Genomic DNA, 25,375 nt, shown 5'->3' on the forward strand with positions numbered 1-25,375 from the left:
CTTGGAGTTTTGCTGTTTTTCTATTTTATATTGTTAGAAGTATTTTTTTGTTGTTGTTTTTGTTTTGTTTCGTTTTGTTTTTTTGAGACAGAGTCTCACTATGTCACCCAAGCTGGAATGCAGTGGTGCAATCTCGGCTCACTGCAACCTCTGCTCACTGCATCCTCCACCTCCCGGGTTCCAATGATTATTATGCCTCAGCCTCCCGAGTAGCTGGGATTACAGGCATGTGCCACCACGCCCAACTGATTTTTGTGTTTTTAGTAGAGAGGGTTATGCCATGTTGGCCAGGCTGGTTTTGAACTCCTGACCTCAAGCAGTCCACCTGCTTTGATCTCCTGAAGTGCTGGGATTACTGGTGTGAGCCACTGCACCTGGCCTGTTTGAAGTATTTGATCAAACTGAAACTATGGTTTTTATCTTTCACATGCTAGAAATATAGAGATTAAGAAGTAATCTGTATGCCGACTTATGGATTATTTTAGTTAACTAAGAATTATCCTCCATGCCATGCATGGATCATGATTTTTTGAAGAATTAGAAGACAATTCTTAGCAGTCAGAATTTTCTGAACATAATTACTCATTAAAGTTCTTGTGACACCAGCAGCTGTTCGTTTATGAGTATTGTTACTATCATACAATAGTATATGTCTTACAAGGAGTAGGAAATCAAGCTGAACTCTATTAACCCTATGATGTATGCCAAAAGTGACTGACTCTTCTGAATTTCTGATGGCTTCATATTTACTTGCCACTTGTCTCATTTTTCTTCAGACTTGAGGATTGTAAATTTCCATATGTTTTAGATTTAAACTTAGTTGTGAATAAAGAGGAATTTCTGACACTCACCTTCCTTGTTTATATGATCAGATTATCAGTAAACAGTGTGGGAACAAAAGGCGTAAGCAGAACGTTCAGTGGGTTTGATTCTTTGCATCTAAGGTCATTTGATACTGGTTGTTTTGATTGTCCTGGCCTTTCCAGAGCTTCTGCTAATCAAGAATATACTATGAAAATCATCAGAGACCTAGCAACTGTTGAGCTTGGTTTTGGCTGTCAGGCCCCTGTTCTGCTGATGGATTGAGGTGAGGTGCAGGTACACCAGGGGACACTGGAGTTTTGCTTTTCTGTTTTATAACTTTGTAGTAATAAATGGAGCCTTTCTCTTCTGTTTGAAAACAAAATCACGGTGGTGGTAATGTCAAAAAGTTGGAAGCAGGAGTTGCCATCAACAAATCCTAGTACGGCAAATAACTGGAAGTTAAATGTTGTCTTGGCTTTCTTCTTGCCTAAATTATTTTTATGCTGATTTATTTTTAATGGAAGCTGGTATCTTATTTATTAAGTACGTGTGTTGATATACAGGACTAGACTCGCTGGATTCTGGTAAAACTGTTGATAATAAGTTGGAGAGTCCATTTTAAATAACCTGGCCAGGAGGAAATCTTTTCCAGAAATCAAAATGGTGAAAAGCAAAAATATTGTATGTACAATACAAGTAGTTTTAAAATAGTGACACTTACATCCTCCGGAAATAATATTGTTTTTAAATGGGTAATGGGAAGTTAAAACTTCTTTTGTTGTGAAAGACTTCAAACATACATAAGAGTAGAAGAATGATTCCACATATATATAAAGTTAGTAATTATTAAGATTTTGCTAGACCAGGCATGGTGGCTCATGCCTATAATCCCAGCACTTTGGGAGGCTGAGGCAAGAGGATTGCCTGAGCCCAGGAGTTCAAGACCAGCTTGAGAGCTTGTCTCTTTAATAAAAAATAAATTAATACAACAAAAATTTTTGCCAGGTGTGATGGCATGCCCTTGTAGTCCCAGCTACTTGGGAGACTGAGACCAGTGGATTGCTTGAGCCCAGGAGCTCAAGGCTGTAGTGCACTGTGATCATGCCTATGAATAACCACTGCACTCCAGCCTGACGACATAGCGAGACCTTGTCTCAATAAAATTAAAAAAAAAGATTTTGTAGCACTTGCCTCATCTATCTTCTTTTTTTCTTCTTGTCGCTGAAGTATTTTAAGCTGCTCAGCAGATCTCAGACATCATGTCATTTTACTCCTACTTACTTCTGGGTATACAACTCTTAAAACATTATGGACATTTTCTTATATAACAAAATGTCATTATACCTAGTTAAGTATAATTAATATGCAATCCATATTCATTTCACAAATGTATGATCTACTCTGAAGGCAGTAGAGTGGACACCTTGAACTTTTCTTGTTCCTAGACTCTTGGGAATTGGTAACACTGCCATGAAGACCTAGGTGGGTAAGGTCATTCAGATGGAGCCAGTGGAAAGGATGTACCTTAAAACTGACTTTCTGAAGTATAATTCTCCATAGCTGCTGCTGAAGCCTGGAGGCCTCGACTCTGAAAGCTAAATAACTCTTCTTTATAAATGACTACTTCTCAAGGTTTCAGCAAAGATAGAAGGGAAAGATGAAAGGAGCAGTATGCTAGGAGTCAAAAGGGGGGAAGGAAACTCTGGAGATTGTCAAGGTCAGCAAACTGCCTCGAGAGAATTAGTTCTGATATAACACTTAACCTCTCCAAGGACCTCTGTATTTTTGGAAACAAGGAGACACTAGGGAGGCAGAGAAAGCCGCTAGGGAATGTTGTTCAGAGATTATACTCTCCTAATCAAGCTGAACTCTGTTAACCCTATGATGTTTGCCAAAAGTGACTGACTCTTCTGAATTTCTGATGGCTTCATATCTTATCCTTTCTTATCTTTTCCATTCTAAGTGCACAATGTGTAAGGAGTCCCTCGGAATAAAGCAGCCCTGGCATGCCATCGGGGATTGAAGTAGGAACGATTTAACAAGGGATACTTGGAAATGTTGTCATGTGCGAGTTGTAAATTTTCTTTTTTAATCTGGTGGAAAATTGGAATGGCATTTCTCTGTTTTGCCCAGCTATGCCAAAAATCTTCTTGGTCCCACATAGGCCTAGGAAGGATGTAGATGGCAATCACAAAACAAACAAAAAATGAGCAAACAAATAGAAGACCTCAAGCAACATTTTCTCTTGTTAATAGGTTAGCAACCTCATATTTGTATATTAAAGAGATCTGCATTATGTTAGGTTGATTTCATATAATTTCAGCTAAGTAGATCTAGTTTAAGGTCAGTGTTTTATTGAATCTTGTATTTTAGCTTCAGTATATTAATTTCCTTAGCTGAGGGACTCCTACTGAAGGAGAAAAGTGTTCCTGTTAAAATTTTGAAATAAAAGTTTCTGTTTTACTGTAGATTTTTTCACTATTGCTCCTTATTTTTATGTATTCTTTCCCCTGGCTGTTTTTCATGGTTCATATTTTATCTGTTACACAGAACATTTGTATTCTGTTAGAATTATCTATAAAAATGAACAAAGGATGGAAGAAAAAGGAAGAGAGTAATTTTTTTCAATAAATGCTAAATCTGTATTATAAAATGTTCCTTAGTCATCCAATTCAGAAAAACCCACTGCTTTGAACCGTAACTCATTATTGAAGGTAATTCAAGGTTCAGAGGCCATAATAAAAAGTAACTGGTGAACTGTTAATATTAGTAACCAACTTTTTTCAACTTCAACAAGAATTTGTTATGTATCTGTACTCATATTTTGATAATTTTGTATATAATAGCTAGTATATTTCTTTAAAAGTTTGTTTTTGGCTTTAGAATACGCTTTTATGTTTTCATCCCAGTAGTGTATTAAAGGTGACAGTACTTTGCTTTAAATAAATTTTGATGTTGCAGAGGTAATTTCAGGAAGTATAAAGCAATCAGAGTCAAATTTCAGAAAAATTTTGGTTTTATAATTACAATAAAAATGCATACAAATTTATTTTAGTGTTTGAGAGACTGTTAAAGATTTTTTTGTAATTTGTAATGATTATGAGGTTTGGATACTCGTAGAAAATGTTCAAGTTCCCTTTCTTAGTTTTACTAATGGGTAGTTTGTCACTAGCAGTAATGAAAAAATAACTGAGTATAAATACAGTTACTCCTTTTGCCTTTTTCTGTATGATTTTCTTTAGTAAAAGAGTAAGCTGAGAGGACGGAAAAATGGGGAGTCATTTTTTAATGGGTATGGAGTTTCAGATTTGCAAGATGAAAAAGTTCTGTAGATCTGATTAACAATAATGTGAATATACTTAACACTACAAACTACACTTAAACAGTGAATATGTTATGTGTCTTTTACCACAATAAAAGATAATGAATAACAAAAAAAATAGGCTAGACATTGAAATTTGAAAAAAGAAACATTAATTTTATAGTTTCTTTTTTGAGTAAGACTTAGGGATTCTTTTCTTTTCTTTTCTTTTCTTTTTTTTTTTGTAGAGATGGGAGTCTCGCTCTGTCACCTAGGCTGGAGTGCAGTGGCACAATGTCAGCTAACTGCAACCTCCACCTCCCAGGTTCAAGTGATTCTCTTGCCTCAGGTTCCCGAGAGCTGGGACTACAGGCGCGTGCCACCACACCTGGCTAATTGTTTTTGTAGTTTTAGTAGAGATGGGGTTTCACCGTGTTAGCCAGGATGATCTTGATCTCCTGACCTTGTGATCCACCCGCCTCAGCCTCCCAAAGTGCTGGGATTACAGGCATGAGCCACTGCGCCTGGCCTCTTCTTTCTTTCTTTCTTTTTTTTTTTTGAGACAGAGTCTTGCCCTGTTGCCCAGGCTGGAGTGCAGTGGCGCGATCTCGGCTCACTGCAACGTCCACCTCCCGGGTTCACACCATTCTCCTGCCTCAGCCTCCTTAGTAGCAGAGACTACAGGCGCCCGCCACCACACCTGGCTAATTTTTTGTATTTTTAGTAGAGATGGAGTTTCACTGTGGTAGCCAGGATGGTCTCAATCTCCTGACCTCGTGATCCATCCACCTCAGCCTCCCAAAGTGCTAGGATTACAGGCGTGAGCCACAGTTCCCGGCCACCTCTTTTCTTTTCTTTTTTTTTTTAAGAAACAGAGTCTCACTCTGTCACCCAGGCTGGAGTGCAGTGATATGATCGTGACTCACTGCAGCCTCAGTCTCCTGGGCTCAAGTGATACTCCTGCCTCAGTCTCCTGGAGTAACTAGAACTACAGGTGCATACTGCCATGCCTGGCTAACTTGTAAGTTTTTTGTAGAGATGGGGTCTCACTGTCTTGTTCAGGCTGGTCTCGAACTCCTGGCCTCAAGTGATCCTCCCTCTTCAGTCTCCCAAAATGTTGGCATTACAGGTGTGAGCCACTATGTTCAGCCAGAGACTATTTTCTTTCCCTTATTTTATCGTTTGTTATTATAACCCTTGTAAATCCCAGACTATTAAGAATTATATTTGGAAAACAGAGGCTTTGGGAAATTTCTGCTTCATTGCATAGTTGTGACGATATCTTCATAGTGCTCTCCACAAATGTGGATTTTTGTAGCCCTATCAGAGATAAAACTGTAGTGGTTTTCTTAAAAGGTATAGGGGAGAAAAGCCTGGTTATGGTAATGAATGTATTAGGTAGAGACAATGTTAGATGAAGAAAACAGACATAGTTCAGGAAAAACACATGTCTTTAAACAGGTTTCATTCAGAAGTAGACCTCTATTTTGGCAGATAATAACTATTTTCCTTTAAAACAATGCATATAAAGATGCAACAACAACAACAAAAACTACAGGTCAATATCCCTGATGAACATAGGTACAAAAATCCTTAACAAAATACTAGCAAACCAAATTCAACAACATATTAAAAAGATCATTAACAGTGATCAAGTACCATTCATCCCAGGGATGCAAGGATGTTTCAACATATGCAAATCAGTAAACCTGATAAATCACATCAACAGAATGAAGGAAAAAGACCATATCATCATCTCAATACATGCATAAAAAACATTTGAAAAATTCATTATTTCCTTATTATAAAAACTCTCAACAAATTACATAAAGAAGGGATGTACCTCAGTGCAACAAAGGCAGTATATGACACACCCACAACTAACATCATGCTGAATGGGGAAAGGTTGAAAGCTTTTTCTCTAAGATCTGGAATAAGATAAGGATACCAGGCCAGGTGTGGTGGCTCACACCTGTAATCCCAGCACTTTGGGAGGTTGAGGCAGGCGGATCGCTGGAGCCCAAGAGTTAAGAGACCAGCCTGGGCAACATGGTGAAAGCCTGTCTCTACCAGAAAATATACAAATATTAGCCGGGCATGGTGGCACACACCTGTAAGTCCCAGCTACTTGGGAGGCTGAGGTGGGAGGATGGCTTGAGGCTGGGAGGCACAGGTTGCAATGAGCCAAGATCATGCCCCTGCACTCCAGCCCAGGTTGCAGAGCCAGACCCTGTCTCAAAAAAAAAAAAAAAAAAAAAGTCACAGATGCCCATTTTTGCCACTTCTATTTAGCATTGTACTCAAAGTCCTAGCCAGAGCAATTAGGCAAAAGAAAGAAAAGGCAACTGAATTGGAAAGGAAGAAGTCAACTTTTCCCTGTTCATAGATGACATGATCTTACATATGAAAACCTTTAAAAAAAGGAACAAAAATTAGAAAACCTTAAAGATGCCACCAGAAAAACCTGTTAGATCTAATACATGAATTCACTGAAGTTGCAGGATATGAAATCAACTTATAAAAACCAGTATTGTTTTTATGTACTAATAGTGAACTACCTGGAAAAAATATCAAGAAAACTCTATTTACAATAGCTATGAAAAAAATACTTAGAAATAAATTTAAGCAAGGAGGTGAAATATCTGTACATTGAAAACTATAAAAAACATTGATGAGAGAAATTGAAGGAGACACAAGTAAATGTTCATGGATTGGAAGAATTAGTATTGTTAAAATGTCCATACTACCCAAAGCGGTCTACAGATTTAGTGCAATCCCTATCAGAAATATCAATGACATTCTTCACAAAAATAGGGAAAAACAATCCCCAAATTTATACAGGACCACAAAAGACCCCAAATAGCGAAAGGAATATTGAACCAAAAGAATGAAGCTGGAACCACTGCCATGGCCAGTCCATTGCAGGGTATCCTGCAGCTGCTACAGACCGAGAAGCAGGCTGCTGAGAAGGTTTCCAAGGCCCACAGGCAGATGAACCGGGGGCTGAAGCAGGCCAAAGAAGTAGCTTAGGCTGAAATTGAACAGTGCCGCCTGCAGAGGGTAAAAAGAGTTCAAGGCGAACGAAGCTGAAGCACTGAAGTGGAGAAGGAGGCCCAGGAGAAAAGATGATCACCCTCCAGACCTACTTCCAGCAGAACAAGGATGAAGTCTTGAATAACCTCTTGGCCTTTGTCTGCAACATCCGGCCAGAAATCTGTGAAAACTGCTGCATAAATGGGTAGGAGAAGAAAAAAGCACCTGTTCTATGAATTGGCATTTTAGATGCTCTCATGGAATATGAAGCTTCAACATAGCTCAAGTTATATTCTTAAGGCATTAAATTATTTCTGTATATTATATAATAGGTCCCTCCACTTTTTGGAGAGTAGCAAATATAGTGTTTTTTTTTTGTTGTTTTGTTTGTTTTTTTTTTTTTTTTACAGACTTAGAACTTATCTAAAGATTTCATGTTTCTTAGAAAATTAATTGGTATATGTTGTCTATTTTTATATGCCTTTTGGTTCAAGCAACATATATATCAGTGTTGACATTTTCTTTCTTAGATCTAATTAAACAAAACCAATTTTTTTTGAAGAAAGAAAGTGATTAAATAATTTTTCCCCCTAATGCATTCTTGAATTCATCAGGGCTTTATCTATGAAAAAGTAGTAAATAGTTATTTGTAACCTATGTGAAGCAACATTCAGCCTTAATCTATTCCTGCTAATGATTAGAACAACAATATTGGTATAGTTGTTTGGGTTGCTTTTAGTTTCTCTTAATCATGTTTACTAGATGATAGAACTTAAGAACTTGTTACATCTTATTACTTGGTGTATGATAATCATTTGAAAGTCAAGACTCTTTGTCATGCAGGAAAAAAAAAAGAACAAAGCTGAAGGCATCACACTACCTGACTTCAAAATATACTATAGAGCTATAGTAATTAAAACTGCATGGTACCAGCATGAAAACAGATACATTGATCAATGGAACAGAATATAAAGTCCAGAAATAAAACCATGCATTTACTTACACCAACTTATATTCAACAAAAATGGCAGGACCACACAATGGGGAAAGGGCCATTTCTTTAATAAATGATGTTGGGAAAACTAGATATTTACACAGAAGAATGAAATTAGGCCCTTGTCTCTCACCATAAACAAAAATCAACTCTTGAAAATGGATTAAATATAAGACCCAAAACTATGAAACTACTACAAGGAAACAGGAAACTCCTTGACATTAGTCTGGCCGATGAGTTTTTTGATACAACCTTAAAAGCACAGGCAACAAAAGCAAAAATGGACAAACAGTATTACGTCAAACTATAAAGCTTCCCCACAGCAAAGGAAACATTCCACAGGGTGAAGAAGGGACCTACAGAATGGGAGAAAATATTTGCAAACTATACATCTGATAAGGGGTTAATATCCGAAACACAGAAGGACTCAAACAACTCAATAGTAAGAAAACAACCTGATTTTCTAAAAATGTGCAGAAGACCCGAATAGATTTTTCTCAAAAGAAGACATAAAAATGGCCAAGTACAGTCATTCATCACTTAACAACAGGTCTACATTTTGAGAAATGTGTTGTTAGGCAATTTCATCTTTTTTTTTTCCCTTATGATCCAACAGAACCAATGGTGTGGTGATTTCATCTTTGTGCAAACATCTAGAGTGTACTTACACAAACCTGGATGGTATAGCCCACTACATACCTAAGCTGTATGGTACAGCCTGTTATTCCTGGGCTGCAAACCTGTATAGGATGCGATTATACTGAATACTACAGGCAATTGGAGCACAATAATAAGTATTTGTGTATCTAAACATAGGAAAGGTACAGTAAAAATACGGTATCAAAGATAAAAATGGCACATCTGTATAGGGCACAAAACCATAGTGGAGCTTGCAGGACTGGATGTTGTCCTGGGTGTGCCAGCGAGTGGGCAGTGAGGGAATGTGAAGGCCTAGGACATTATTGTACACTACTGTAGACTGTCTTTTTTTTTAATAGAATTTTGTTCTTTTGCCCAGGCTGGAGTACAGTGGCACAATCATAGTTCACTGCAGCCTCAAACTCCTGGGCTCAAGTGATCCTCCTGTCTCAGCCTCTCGAGTAACTGGGACTACAGGCACATGCCACCATGCCCAGCTAACTTATTTTATTTTTTTGCTATTGTAGACTTGATAAACATTGTACACTTAGGTTACACTAAATTCATAAAACATCATTTCTTCAATGAACTGTAGCTTACTGTAAGTTTTTTACTTTTTGACTTTTGTAATAACACTTAGCTTAAAACACAAACATATTACACAGCTGCATAAAAATGTTTTCTTCTATGCTTATGCTGTGTAAACCTTTTCTGTGTTTGAAATTTTTTATTTTTTTTATTTTTAAACTTTTTTGTTAAAAACTGAGACACAAACACACATGTTGGCCTAGGCCTGTATAGTGTCAGGATCATCTGTATTGCTGTCTTCCACCTTCATATCCTGTCCCATTGGAAGGTTCTCAGGGAAAGAACACTCATGGAGCTGTCATCTCTTATGACAGTGCCTTCTTCTGGATACTCGCTGAAAGACCTGCCTGAGGCTGTTTTACAGTTAACTTTTTAAAATAACTTGAAGTAAAATAATAATAAAAAGTATGGTAAATACATAAACCAGTAACAGTCATTTTTTTATTATCAAGCATATGTACTGTACATAATTGCATTGCTATGCTTTTATTTAATTATTTATGAGACAGGGTCTCACTCTGTTGCCCATGCTGGTGTGTGGTGATGTGATCTCGGCTCACTGCAACCTCCGCCTCCTGGGTTAAAGCTATTCGCGTGCCTCAGCCTCCCGAGTATGGGATTACAGTCGTGCATCACCATGCCTGGCTAATTTTTGTATTTTCAGTACAAAATTTCTCTACTAAAAATACAAAAATAAGCAGATGTGGTGGCAGGCGCCTGTAATCGCAGCTACTTGGGAGGCTGAGGCAGGAGAATTGCTTAAACCCAGAGGCGGAGGTTGCAGTGAGCCGAGATGGTCCCAGTGGACTCCAGCCTGGGCAACACAGCAAGACTCCATCTCAAAAACAAAAAATAAAAAAAATTAGCCAGGAGTGGTGTTGTGCACCTGTAATCCCAGTTACTCAGAGGCTGGGGCAGGAGAATCACTTGAACCCGGGAGGCAGAAGTTGCAGTGAGTCGAGATCACACCACTGCACTCCAGCCTGGGCAACAGAGTGAGACTGTCTCACCAAAAAAAAAAAGCTCGACATCATTAATCATCAGGGAATTGCAAATCAAAACTACAATGAGATATCACCTTCCTCTTGTTAGGTTGGTTATTATCAAAATGACAAAAGATAACAGATGTTGGCAAGAATATGGAGAAAAGGGAACACTTATACACTGACGGTGGGAATGTAAATTTGTATAGCCATATGGAAAACAGTATGGAGGTTCCTCCAGATATGAAAAATAGAAGTACCAGATGATCCAGCAATTTCATTACTGGGTATCTATCCAAAGGAGATGAAAGCAGTGTGTGGAAGAGATATCTGCACTTCCATATTTATTGCAGCACTATGCATAATGGCCAAGATACGGAATCAGCCTCGGTGTTCATCAGTGGATGAATGGATAAAGAAAGTATGGTATGTATACACAATGGAATACTATTCAACCATAAAAAAGAATGAAGTGTCATTTGCAACAAGATGGAGGAATCTGGAAGTCATTCTGTTAAGTGAATAAGCCAGGCCCAGAAAGACACATACTGCATGCTCTCACTCATGTGTGGAGTCTAAAAAGTTCTCATAGAATTAGAGGGAAGAATGGTGGTTACCAGAGGTGGGGGTGCTTAGGCAGAGGGAAGGATGGGGAAATGTTGGTCCAAGAATATATAATTACAGTTAGGAGGAATGAGTTCAAGAGAGCTATCATACAGCATGGTGACTATAGTTAAGGACAATGTATTGTTGAAAAATGCAGAGATAGTTGAATGTTAATAATGTTCTCACCACAAAAACAACTATGTGAGGTAATGCTATTATTAATTAGCTAGATTTAACTATTACATAATGTATATATACTCCAAAACATCATGTTGTACATGATAAATGCAATTTTTTCTGTCAATTCAAAATGTAAAGTAAGAACATTTAAAAGGTACATCTCCAACCTCCACATGCTTTCCTTGCCCAGTCTTTCTCTCCTGCTTGTCTCTCTCCCTGTCAGTATGAGACACCCTCTCTAGGAAGCCGCTGTCATCCTTTACAAAGAAGGAGTCCAGAATCTAAAATCTTACACAGCCTGCTTCAGGCAGTACTGAAGCCTGGACTTCTCAGAGGCCACAGTAGAGGCCAGTTGTAGCAAATTTGGTTGAAAAAGCAAGAATTATTTTTAAGTTTTTCTAACCACCTGAGCTCCATTTGCCCAGTTGTGAGATTAAACACTTTCTTCGGGCACCAGCAAATCATGGCCACCAGAAAATAAAATCAAATACAAAATAATAATTAATGGGAGAGGAGCAGTGGCTCATGCCTGTAATCCCAGCACTTTGGGAGGCCAAGTCAGGAGGATTACTTGAGCCCAGGAGTTCAAGACCAGCCTGGGTCAAGGTAAGACTCCATCTCTACAAAAAAAAAAATTAGCCAGGCATGGTGGCACTTGCCTGTAGTGCTATCTACTCAGGAGGCTAAGATGGGAGGATCTCTTGAGCCCTGGAGGTTGATTGAAGCTGCAGTGATTCGTGATCATGCCACCGCACTCCAGCCTGGGTGACAGAGCAAGACCCTGTCTCAACGCAACAAAAAACAAAAATAAAAAAAAATAGAGAACAAAAATATTAAATGTGTGCGTATTTACTATTGGATATGGTAATATACCATGGTAGGTATTGCCTTTGTAAGTTGGTCTCCCCTGTCTTTTGTTCCTAGAGCTTTCTCATTTTCTCATCTCCAAGGGCTTGTTTACTGCTTCATACATAAAAAGAGGCCAGGTATGATGGCTCATGCCTGTAATCCCAACACTTTGGGAGGCCGAGATGAGATGATTGCTTGAGCACAGGAGTTCGAGACCAGCCTGTACAACATAGGGAGACCATGTCTCTATGAAAAATTAAAAACTTAGGCCAGGTGCAGTGGCTCACGTGTAATCCCAGCACTTTGGGAAGCTGAGGCAGTCAGATCACCTGAGGTCAGGAGTTCAAGACCAGCCTGGCCAACAACATGGTAAAACCTTGTCTCTATTAAAAATACAAAAAGTAGCCAGGCATGGTGGTGGGCACCTGTAATCCCAGCTACTCGGGAGGCTGAGGCGGGAGATTCGCTTGAACCCGGGAGGCGGAGGTTGCAGTGAGCCAAGATCACACCACTGCGCTCCAGCCTGGGCGACAAGAGTGAAACTCCGTCTCCAAAAAACAAAAAACAAACAAAAAAAAACAATTAGTTGAGTGTGGTGACATGTGCTTGTAGTTCAAATTACTCAGGAGGCTGAGGTGGGAGGATCGCTTGAGCCTGGGAAGCTGCACTGCACTCTAGCCTGGGTGACAGCAAGAACCTATCTCAAAAAAAAAAAAACAAAAAAAGAGCCCTAATTTATACATGTATTCTCAGTTTGAATTAAATTTAGCTTGTTTACTTAAAAGTAGTGTTGAAGGTATTTTTCATACTATATTTTAATACTAGATTAAAGTTGATACTAATTTTATGCAGTTTTAAGTATTAAGACTAATCATTTGACCTTTGCTTTCTTTACCTAAAACATGGAAAATACTGATTTCATAGATTAAATGAGATGATTTGTGTGAAGCACAAGCACAGAGTTTGGCATCTGGTCAATGTGCAATAAATGCTTGCTTTTATCCTCATAGTGACCTTCCTTGATCTTAAAATGGTAGTAATTAGGCTTTAAGATGAAATGGCTTATGCTGGTTTTAAAATATATTGTATTCGGAATCCTTTGTAAAGTAACAAAAATCTACAATGCTTAGTAGGCCTCCAAAGGGTATAGAGGAGAAAAGCTAATTTTTTATAGTTTTATAAGCAAAGTTCCGGTATGTCAGGAGCTTGCTTAAAATTATATGTTTTATGCTTCTTAATTTAGGTACTTTAGATTTCTCCTAGATATTTTAAAACATTGCTGGCCACTTTGGGCATAAAAATCTAAAATATAATCTGTAACTATTTCAGATTTCATGGTAAGACCAAACTGCATTATAATTTTTGTAAGGAGCTAAACTCTTAGACTTTACTATTTATGTACTCTGACCATTGGACTGGAACTGAAAACAACTTAAAGATGCAATTTGGCCTGGCTGTGTTAAATTAGTCTGCTTTGCATTGCTATAAAGGAATACCTGGCTGGGGCAGTGGCCCATGCCTGTAATCCCAGCACTTTGGGAGCCTGAGTTGGGTGGATTATTTGAGCTCAGGAGTTCGAGACGAGCCTGGCCAACATGGTGAAACCCTGTCTCTACAAAAAAATACAAAAATCAGCTGGGCATGGTGGCAGGCGCCTGTAATCCCAGCTACGCCGGAGGCTGAGGCAGGAGAATCACTTGAAACTTGAACCCGGAAGGCAGAAGTTGCAGTAAGCCAGATTGCACCACTGCTCTCCAGCCTGGGCCACAGAGCGAGGCTCCATCTCAAAAAAAAAAAAAAAAAAAAAAGAAAAGGAAAAAGAAATACTTGAGGCTGGATAATATATAAAGAAAAGAAGTTTGTTTTGGCTCACGGTTCTGCAGGCTGCACAAGAAGCATGGCACCAGTATCTGCTTCTAGGGAAGCCTCCAGAAGCTTCAAATCATGGCAGCAGGAGAAGGGGGAGCCAGGGTATCACATGGAGAGAGAGGGAGCAAGAGAGAGGGGAAGTGCCACACTCTTCAACAACCAGCTCTCAGAACTACCAGAGCGAGAACTCATGACCATTCATGAGGGATCCCCCATGACCCAAACACCTCCCACAAGGCCCCACCTCCAACATTGAGGATTATATTTCAACATGAGATTGGGAGCGGATAAGCATCCAAACTGTATCACGTTTTGTCAAAATGATTCTGATTTTGACATCTACTTTTATGTAATTCTTCTTTCCTGTTGCATAAAAAGCCTTTTTTTGGCTTAGAATCTTACTGCAAATTCTTTATGTGTATTTATTATTTTGAAATACATTTGGCTAGTAAATTATGATCAGTTTCAGTCTTACTGAAACCAAATACGAGATTGGCTTTCAAAAGTTCCTTCCAGAGCTAAAAGAGTTTGACTTCTATAAAGGTCATGTCCATTTTTATAGTACTTTAATATATATATTATTATAATAAGTGAAACATATCTCATATTGGTTAGAATATAAAATGATGCCCCAAATACTATAAATAGGAAATCCAAGATACTGTACAGATTAGCTAGAAAAAAAAAAGTTTAGCTAGGGCACTGTTCTCAAAGGATAAAGAACCCTAATTTTAATTTAAGTGCTTACTGGAAGCATTATCAAAATAGATTATTTAAACCCTTCTGGATAATTAAGAATGACTGAATTATAACACTTGCTTTGCTTTCAAGAAGTGAATTTTTTAGAAACATGAAATTTGACCATTTACGTTTACAGTATCAGAAACAATGATCCTTTTCCCCCTTTTCAATTCAGATTATGGATTTCAGCTTATGCGCTATACATAAAAAAAAGGATTGGAGGCAACAACAACATCTCTTTAGAAGATAATGGATAGTAAATATAGAAATAATAATCATACTTGGCTTATCTCTTTGTAACAAATATTTTCAACATATATTCTTAAGGTAAAATTTAAATGCATTGAATTTGCAATTTGTTAGCCACACTATCTTAAAAACAAAACAAAAAAAACAGCTAGGCCAGACACAGTGGCTCACACCTGTTATCTCAGCACTTTGGGAGGCCAAGGCGGGTAGATTACCTGAGGCCAGGAGTCGAGATCAGCCTGACAACATGGTGAAACTCCGTCTCTACTAAAATTACAAAAATTAACTGGGTGTGGTGACAGGCACCTGTAATCCCAGCTACTTGGGAGGCTGAGGCAGGAGAATCGATTCAACCCAGGAGGTGGATGGAGGTTGCGGTGAGCCCAGATCACGCCACTTCCCTCCAGCCTGGGCGACAGAACAAGAGTCTGTATCAAAAAAAAAAAAAAATTACCAGGGTGTGGTGGCGGGCACCTGTAATCCCAGCCACTCGGGAGTTTGAGGCTGGAGGATTGCTTGAGCCTGGAAGGTGGAGGTTGCAGTGAGCCAACATTGTGCCACTGAACCGCAGCCTGAGCAACAGAGCTGAACTCTGTCTCCAACTCAAAACAAAAAACACCTTCATGGGAAGGAAGTCACTCAAGATAACCGAAATGAAGACCAACTACATTTTTCATTTTGTGTTTGTCTTACTCAGCACAATCAAATATGACTTTTAAAAATTAAAGTGGGCCGGGCACGGTGGCTCACACCTGTAATCCCAGCACTTTGAGAGGCCAAGGTGGATGGATCACCTGAGGTCAGGAGTTCAAGACCAGCCTGGCAGAGATGGTAAACCCTGTCTTTACTAAAAATACAAAAATCAGCCAGACGTGGTGGCACATGCCTATAATCCTAGCTATTTGGGTGGCTAAGGCAGGAGAATTGCTTGAACCCAGGAGGTGGAGGTTGCAGTGAGCCGAGATCGCACCACTGCACTCCATCCTGGGTGACAGAGCAAGACTCCGTCTCAGTGGGGGGAAAAAAAATTAAAGTGGAATATTTTACATCTTTATTCAGGTATTTGATTTATAATATTCTTATTATTTTCAGCTTTAAAACATTTGAAATATTCTAATATTCTCTTAAATGCTTTTTCCCCTATAGAACAGACTTTTGAGAATCCTGTCTTAATACATAAATATCAAGATAGTTTTCAACTTCTTGCTTAGCTTGTTAGTGTATTTTTATTGTAGTCCTTAAACTAGGTAGTACAGAGATTTGATTTTTCAGGAGCAGAGTTGATAGAGCAGTCTGCTATATTGTGAATTCACATTTTAAAATCCTTTATTGTCTTGAATGCAGGCCTAGTAGCTTTGTGACATGTGCAGCTATACTATGACATCATAAACCCCATCGTGAGGGAACCTAGCTACGGGTCAGAGCTAGTCCACTAGGTGCTAATCAAATGCTGTGTTACAACACTGTGAGGTTTTCCCAGTTATAAGTGTCACTATTAGGGTTTTTTTTAATTGCAAAGCCAAATAAGGCTGTCAATTGCATCATCTTACCTTATTTCTTCAGATTAAGTACTGTTTATAGTGGGATTTTTGGTGGATGTGGTGGCATCAGCATAATCTATGTTTCAGGCGTCCTATAGAAGAGGATTATTCTTCAGGGGATGTGGAAGAAAAGGTAAATGATGTCTGCTATAAGTACCTTCACACTTTTAAAGCCTTGTGAAAAGAGGGGTAAAAATTGTGAAATATAAAATAACATCCATTTTATGTTTTAGTTTTTTGTTCTTGCGATAGTTTACTGAGAATGATGATTTCCAATTTCATCCATGTCCCTACAAAGGACATGAACTCATCCTTTTTTTATGGCTGCATAGTATTCCATGGTGTATATGTGCCACATTTTCTTAATCCAGTCTGTCATTGTTGGACATTTGGGTTGGTTCCAAGTTGTAGCAGCATGATTTATAATCCTTTGGGTATATACCCAGTAATGGGATGGCTGGGTCAAATGGTATTTCTAGTTCTAGATCCTTGAGGAATCGCCACACTGTCTTCCACAATGGTTGAACTAGTTTACAGTCCCACCAACAGTGTAAAAGTGTTCCTATTTCTCCACATCCTCTCCAGCACCTGTTGTTTCCTGACTTTTTAATGATCGCCATTCTAACTGGTGTGAGATGGTATCTTATTGTGGTTTAGATTTGCATTTCTCTGATGGCCAGTGATGAGCATTTTTTCATGTGTCTGTTGGCTGCATAAATGTCTTCTTTTGAGAAGTGTCTGTTCATATCCTTCGCCCACTTTTTGATGGGGTGGTTTGGTTTTTTCCTTGTAAATTTGTTTGAGTTCATTGTAGATTCTGGATATTAGCCCATTGTCAGATGAGTAGATTGCAAAAATTTTTTCCCATTCTGTAGGTTGCCTCTTCACTTTGATCGTAGTTTCTTTTGCTGTGCAGAAGCTCTTTAGTTTAATTAGATCCCATTTGTCAATTTTGGCTTTGTTGCCATTGCTTTTTGTATTTTAGACATGAAGTCCTTGCCCATGCCTATGTCCTGAATGGTATTGCCTAGGTTTTCTTCTAGGGTTTTTATGGTTTTAGGTCTAACATTTAAGTCTTTAATCCGTCTTGAATTAATTTTTGTACAAGGTGTAAGGAAGAGATCTGGTTTCAGCTTTTTACATATGGCAAACCAGTTTTCCCAGCACCATTAATTAAATAGGGAATCCTTTCCCCATTTCTTGTTTTTGTCAGGTTTGTCAAAGATCAGATGGTTGTAGATGTGTGGTATTACTTCTGAGGGCTCTGTTCTGTTCCATCGGTCTGTATCTTTGTTTTGGTACCAGTACCATGCTGTTTTGGTTACTGTGGCCTTGTAGTATAGTTTGAAGTCAGGTAACGTGATGCCTCCAGCTTTGTTCTTTTGGTTTAGGATTATCTTGGCAATGTGGGCTCTTTTTGGGTTCCATATGAACTTTAAAGTCGTTTTTTCCATTTCTCTGAAGAAAGTCATTGGTAGCCTGATTGGGATGGCATTGAATCTATAAATTACCTTGGGCAGTATGGCCGTTTTCACCATATTGATTCTTCCTGTTCATGAGCATGGAATGTTCTTCCATTTGTTTGTGTCCTCTTTTATTTCATTGAGCAGTGGTTTGTAGTTCTCCTTGAAGAGGTCCTTCACATCCCTTGTAAGTTGGATTCCTAGGTATTTTATTCTCTTTGAAGCAATTGTGAATGGGAGTTCACTCATGATTTGGCTGTTTGTCTGTTACTGGTGTATAAGAATGCTTGTGATTTTTGCACATTGATTTTGTATCCTGAGACTTTGCTGAAGTTGCTTATCAGCTTAAGGAGATTTTGAGCTGAGACGATGGGGTTTTCTAAATATACAATCATGTCATCTGCAAACAGGGACAATATGACTTCCTCTTTTCCTAATTGAATACCCTTTATTTCTTTCTCCTGCCTGATTGCCCTGGCCAGAACTGCCAACACTGTTGAATAGGAGTGGTGAGAGAGGGCATCCCTGTCTTGTGCCAGTTTTCAAAGGGAATGCTTCCCATTTTTGCCCATTCAGTATGATATTGGCTGTGGGTTTGTCATAAATAGCTCTTATTATTTTGAGATACGTCCCATCAATACCTAATTTATTGAGAGTTTTTAGCATGAAGGGCTGTTGAATTTTGTCAAAGGCCTTTTCTGCATCTATTGAGATAATCATGTGGTTTTTGTCTTTGTTTCTGTTTATATGCTGGATTACGTTTATTGATTTGCATGTGTTGAACCAGCCTTGCATCCCAGGAATGAAGCCCATTTGATCATGGTGGAGAAGCTTTTTTTTTTTTTTTGAGATGGAGTCTCGCTCTTTTGCCCAAGCTGGAGTGCAGTGGCATGATCTTCGCTCACTGCAAGCTCCATCTCCTGGGTTCACGCCATTCTCCTGCTTCAGCCTCCCTAGTAGCTGGGACTACAGGCACCCGCCACCACACCCGGCTAATTTTTTTTGTATTTTTTAGTAGAAACGGGGTTTCACCATGTTAGCCAGGATGGTCTCTATCTCCTGAACTCGTGATCCGCCTGCCTCAGGCTCTGAAAGTGCTGGGATTACAGGCGTGAGCCACTGTGTCTGGCCGGATAAGCTTTTTGATGTGCTGCTGGATTCAGTTTGCCAGTATTTTACTGAGGATTTTTGCATCGATGTTCATCAGGGATATTGTTCTAAAATTCTCTTTTTTTGTTCTGTCTCTGCCAGGCTTTGGTATCAGGATGATGCTGGCCTCATAAGATGAGTTAGGGAGGATTCCCTGTTTTTCTATTGATTGGAATAGTTTCAGAAGGAATGGTACCAGCTCCTCCTTGTACTTCTGGTAGAATTCGGCTGTGAATCCATCTGGTCCTGGACTTTTTTTGGTTGGTAGGCTATTAATTATTGCCTCAATTTCAGAGCCTGTTATTGGTCTATTCAGGAATTCAACTTCTTCCTGGTTTAGTCTTGGGAGGGTGTATGTGTCCAGGAATTTATCCATTTCTTCTAGATTTTCTAGTGTATTTGCATAGAGGTGTTTATAGTATTCTCTGATGGTAGTTTGTAATTCTGTGGGGTCGGTGGTGATATCCCCTTTATCATGTTTTATTGCATCTATTTGATTCTTCTCTCTTTTCTTCTTTATTGGAGTTTAACCTATTAACTCTACCAGTATAATTATAAGGTTGACGCTCTTGCTTATAAGTTTTGGCCTAACCAGTGAGAATGTAGAATGATAGTTCTCCAGATATAAGAGTTTTCTTTTTTAAAAGGAGACATTTGAATTCTACCTCCAGATGCGTCATTTATGCAGGTTCTCAGCCTTTATTTTAGCATTTTAATGAAAAAATTGTCTCATGAGCTTTTGGCCTGCCTAGAGTTTGGACATATGGAAGTTTCCTTGTAGTTACAGAATCTGTATAACCTATCTCCAGAATTGTAAGGATATGGTTTATGTTAGCGGGTACAAGTTCTTTTTCTGCAGCAGGTATTCTTAACCAAGCCTTTTTTTTTTTTTTTTTTTTTTTTTGTTAAGGCACAGTCTCGCTCTGTCATCCAGGCTGGAGTGCGGTGGCATGATCTCAGCTCACTGCAACCTCGAACTCCTGGGTTCAAGAAATTCTCATGCCTCAGCCTCATGAGTAGCTGGGATTACAGGTGCGCACAACCACACCCGGCTAATTTTTGTATTTTTAGTAGAGAGAGGGTTTCACCATATTGGCCAGGCTGGTCTTGAACTCCTGACCTCAGGTAATCCACCTGCCTCGGCCTCCTGAAGTGCTGGGATTACAGTCATGAGGACTTAGCCATTTTTGATAGAGTTATTGTTTAATTAAAATTCTGATAATTGTACTTGAAAGATGATTAAAGCAATGTAAAGGATGATTTATGCCTATCAGATGCCCATGAATCTTTGTTGAATTGTTTTTCTGTTCTCCATAATAATCTGATTTCTTTGAAGCTGGGCATTTCCCCACAAAAAATGAATGTGGACACCACCTGCCATCTCAACCCACAGGTCTAGTTTGTGAGAATACTTGTAGGACCCCTGGGTTTCCCCCGCTATAGTTTCAAGTACATTGTCTTCAGATACCTTATTCTATGTACTTGGAAAAAAGAGTAAAACATTGAGAGCCACTGGGATCTGACAAGCTTTGGGAGCTCCTTAATTCTAAAAAGAAAATTATTTTGATTTGAGAAAATGTAATATCTTCAGAAATTTCCACCACCCAGCTATGTGACTGCATTTTTAAAAAAGGAAAGGAACAGAGGAAAATCAAGTCACTCTACCCTCCTTACTTACCTGTGGCTTGTCCCTACACATGGTGGTGGGTGGGAGAAGTGGTGGTGGAGTACTGGGTCCTCCAGAGAGCTCAGTTTGGAATCTGGAACTAAAGATCATGTCCCAATTTCCTGAGCTGATGGGATAGAAGCTGGTCAATGAAGTCTTCTTTTTGTGTTAATTTTTTTCCTTTGTTTTCTTTTGTTTTATGTAGTTATAAAGCATAATTTCTATTTTGCCAGTCTCTGACACATGGGCTCTGTCAGGGTTACTGGATATGTTTATTTTGTCTCTGCTGCTCTACTGGAGCTGAAATCTCAGCCTGTCTGAGCAGTTCTTTAAGCTGAAAGCCAGGGTGTAGGGGCTAGATTAGTGTGGAATAGCTGTTTTCAAAGTGTGGTGTGCAGAACCCTGGGGGTGACTCTGAGACATTTTCATGAGGCTTGCTAGGTCAAAACCATTTTCACGGTGATGCTAAGATGTTGTTTTTCTTTTTCTCTGTTTTGATATCCACACTGATGGTGCAAAAACAGTGGTGGTGGGGGAGTGGTAAATTGTTGGGTGCCTTAACTCAAGTCAGTGACACAAACTGTGTTAGTATTAACTGTATTCTTCACTGCCATCCACTTGCAGTTTTTTTTTTTTTAAGTCAGTTTTACTTAAGAATATCTTTGATGAAGCAGTAAAAATTACCATTGCATTAAATCTTGACTCTGAGTACATGCTGTTTTGATATTCTGTGTCCTGAAGTGGGACAGCTGCAGAAAGCACCCCCCCGCTGCGTCCTGACGACCCATGGTGTTCTTAAGGAAAAGCACGTGTGTTATTTGAGTGCCAAGATGAATTAGCTGCCTGTTTTTCCACAGAACGTCATTTTCTTCAAAAGAATGACTAATTTCCAAATGATGGCTATTCAAACTTGAAGACATTTCCTCAAAAACAAATGAAGTGAGCTTGTCAGTTCAAGGGAAACAACTCATGGTGTTTATTGTCACAAGCTTTTAAGCCAAAACTTTGAATTTTGGAAAATCTGCATCTGCCATTGTGAGCTTGACAATATTCATAGTTTTCTGATCAAACTGGTTATACTTTAATGAAATGTGATTTATAATACTGTGTCATGAAATGTGTCCACGTTTGGAAGATCTCCTGAACTCAGTGAGCCAGTATTTTCCAAATGAATACTTCAGGATGTTACAAAATCTTACGTGGGTAAGAGATTCATCCAAAGTACAAGACAGATCAATGGATTTTAATGTAACTGATACTGTCTCAGATTGTATGTTGCAATTAATCCTTAAGAGACAATCAGTTGTCAAGTTTTGGTGTATCCATGAAGAATATCCATGATTTTCTACAGAAGCTATTATAATATTCCTCCCTTTTTCTAACACGAGTCTTTGTGAGGCCCAGATTTTCTTCACATACCAACTAAAGCAACATACTGCAACAGATTCAGTGTAGAAGTAGATATGAGAATCTGGCTATCTTCAGTTAAACCTGACATTAAAATAATTTGTAAAAATGTAAAACAGTGCTACTCTTCTGATTTTTTTGAAAATGTAATCATTTTTCATAAAATGTTATTTATGGTAGCACATACTTATTATTTTAAAATAAGTTACTATTTTTAAAATTTCTGTTTTAATTTCCAGTATGTTAAATATCAACATATATAACCAGTGGTGTGCACAGCTGGCTTGTACCAGTGAAAACCAATTGTATAATCTTTATCCGGCTTTGTGTTCAATGTCATCCATTGGCAGCTTGAAATCAGCCATAGTAGGAGTACTTACATCACAGAAGTGAGCAAACGCTACAAGTCAGTGTTCCTCCTTCTTAAGATCTAGTTAAGTGTTTACCAGCCCTCTACTGAATATCAATCACAGAAACAAAAGCTCTTTGAGGTCATCAGTAATTTTTAAGAGTGTAAAGATGCCCTGAGACTAAAATATTTGAGAATTAGTTGTGAGGAGAAAGAGTTATCTTTTGAGAGTTAGTCACTATAGAGGTGTATAATTCATACAGAGTTGCCTTTTGTGCCGGAAACATTTGTAGAATAAATCCAATGTTTTAAAACTTGCAGTTGTTAAATCTACTGGTTCCATAATGGGAGGATGTTTTTCTTTTCCCTGGAATCTAAACTAGATGATAATACTCTGGGGGTAGGTGAGCTGAATTTTCCCTGTGGGCTACATATTGGTTGCCTCTGTCCTGGTTTCACACTATCTGTCCAACTGTTATCTAGGTTTAGATCAAGCCTTCACTCAAGCTCTGGCATCTACATAAAGCCCTCACTTACTGTTTGGGCCCATACTGATCTTTCTATTCTGTACTCCTGTGATATTCATGGCCTCTAAAATGGAGCAATTCGTTCTGTACTATTTGGTGTGCCATTGTTTCTTAGGTGCTAGTTTTATTAATTCTATTTTCTAATAGTGCACCTAGTACAAGGCTCAACACCTAGGTTCTCTTACACGGATAAAACATGTTTTAACTTTTGGATTGCCAGAGAAGTTAGTTTTCCAAGGGAATGATGATGTAAATAAATCTTAGTTATTTGTTATAAACCCAGTTTTTAATAATTCTTTTCAGATATTAATATAAGTTGGAAATCATTGGTGTTCCTCAAAGTGAAGTCACACACAAAGTCTTCCTTGAAAAAATTGTTTTAGATGCTGTGGTTCTACTACCACTCATGATAGACACTGGTGACTTATTTCCAAGGTCTTTGACTCTTGAGTAAGTCATAATGAATGGTGAATCTTAGTAAAATGAGGCAAAGTTTCTGCAATTATGCTAGCCTATAGGACAGAGTTGTTTACTAATTAGAAAACCTGGCAGGTTTTGAGTCCAGAGGAGTGGTTAGTATCGTGTTTTTCTGGTAGGGATCTCTGTTGAAGGAACTCAGGGAAGTAGTGAGGAGATGGCTGTTGTGCTGATCTCTGCCCAAAGTTAAGTGATAGTTCTGGCCTCTCTGGATGCTTTAGCTAGGGAGAGGAAAAGTGTCCAGAGGCCTCATCAGCCTTCAAGGCATGAGCTTTCTCTGGGTCAGAGACACCAGGGGCTTGAAAGGTCCTGGAATTTCTTCGGCCTATGCCTTTTTAGTTATTATGAGGGCATAACAGTGACTGTGATTTTTATCAGTCTAGAGACAAAGCATCAGCTCACATCCAGAGTAACACTAGAATATCATATGTCACACATTTAATAAAAATAATTCACTGGCCAGGTACAGTGGCTCACGCCTGTAATCCCAGCACTTTGGGAGGCCAAGGTGGGCAGATCACAAGGTCAGGAGATCGAGACCATCCTGGCTAATGGGTGAAACCCCGTCTCTACTAAAAATACAAACAATTAGCTGAGCGTGGTGGCGGGCACCTGTAGTCCCAGCTACTCAGGAGGCTGAGGCAGGAGAATGGCTTGAACCTGGGAGGTAGAGCTTGCAGGGAGCCAAGATCACGCCACTGCACTCCAGCCTGGGCAGCAGAGCAAGACTCCGTCTCAAAAAAAAAAGAACCATAGTTAAGTTCTATCTCCAATTTCTCTGAAGAAGTTAGAGGGTAGTTTATACTCTGGCCTAAGAAAGGCTTCACTGTTAGTAGGCGTGAGGTCGTAGTGAGGTAGTTTAACTGCTTTAGAACTTTGTGCTTGGAACATTCTTAGCCACCGAAGTATGGGCACCAAAAGCGATAAGGAGCATGTGTTCCTTAATAAATGTCACATCAGAAAATGACTGTTCCAGGACAGTAACCACCTCCCGATGGTAAGTATCCTAGATAGTTTGTCATTTCTCAGCAGCAGGAAAAAGAGAAGTAGGCCAGTCATATTAGTGAGTGGTATTACTTAAAAATAGCAAAAACAATAACAAAAAAGGTCCAGCTTTAATCCTCAATGGTGATCATTTTGGCAGGTTTCTGTGGCTGGATCAGGCACCAGAAGAGGCTCCCCAGCTGTAACTCTAGTGCAGTTACCTTCGGGCCAAACTATACATGTCCAGGGAGTAATTCAGACACCACAGCCATGGGTTATTCAGTCATCAGAAATACACACCGTTCAGGTTAGCTTCCTTCCTGAATGGTTTTGTCTTTGACTTTCTTGAGCCATTTTTTTCCTCTTTCACTAATTCATTTATCATTTTTCTTTATGAAGTGCTTATACGCAAATCTTTTTATTAGATATTTGGAGGAATCTCTTCTCCTTGCGTAAGGTGCTCTGTGTCCTGCTAGGTACGTAGGTTTCACTTCAGAGCTGCAGCTTTGTTGCCAACTTTTCATTTGGGGACTGAGTAATTGCAGATGAGCAGTTCATGTCTTCTTCACTTTGTTGTTCTGTGTTCAAACTCAGATTTATTTAGCAATGCTCCCCAAGGGTGCTGAAAAATATTTTGAGGGTGCATCAGAGAAGATGTGTGATAAACACAGTAATATAAAGATTATAGTGCTGATGCTGTTTTCTTTTTTTTTCTTCTTTTTTTTTTTTTTTTGAGACAGAGTCTCGCTTTGTCGCCCAGGCTGGAGGGCAGTGGCATGATCTCGGGCCATTGCAAGCTCCACCTCCCGGGTTCACGCCATTCTCCTGCCTCAGCCTCCCGAGTAGCTGGGACTACAGGCGCCCGCCACCATGCGTGGCTAATTTTTTTTGTATTTTTAGTAGAGATGGGGTTTCACCGTGTTAGCCAGGATGGTCTTGATCTCCTGACCTCGTGATCCGCCTGTCTCGGCTTCCC

The 25,375-nt window shown here is 39.1% G+C and overlaps 1 protein-coding gene and 1 pseudogene across 67 annotated transcripts in view; both read left to right on the forward strand.

The window, feature by feature from the left end:
* Positions 1-25,375, forward strand: part of CREM (cAMP responsive element modulator) — an 86,113-nt gene that overhangs the window by 24,448 nt on the left and 36,290 nt on the right. For 10 of the 67 annotated variants that reach the window (XM_011519333.2, XM_011519330.3, XM_011519331.3 and 7 more), the window contains exon 1: positions 24,300-24,412. The exons of 41 other annotated variants lie outside the window; for them this stretch is intronic. Coding sequence is in view for 18 of the 26 variants with exons in the window: in XM_011519331.3 (XP_011517633.1) it covers positions 24,348-24,412 (65 nt within the window). In the remaining 8 variants the exon portion in view is untranslated. Of the gene's footprint in view, positions 1-986; positions 1,088-16,270; positions 16,511-19,899; positions 20,022-24,299; positions 24,413-24,559; positions 24,707-25,375 lie in introns of those variants that run through there. 16 more of the 67 variants (XM_024447824.2, XM_047424625.1, XM_047424628.1 and 13 more) reach the window with 5 other exon arrangements.
* ATP6V1G1P4 (ATPase H+ transporting V1 subunit G1 pseudogene 4) lies at positions 7,013-7,344 on the forward strand (annotated as a pseudogene).

Source organism: Homo sapiens, chromosome 10, assembly GCF_000001405.40.
Source record: "Homo sapiens chromosome 10, GRCh38.p14 Primary Assembly".
Lineage (NCBI taxonomy): Eukaryota > Metazoa > Chordata > Mammalia > Primates > Hominidae > Homo > Homo sapiens.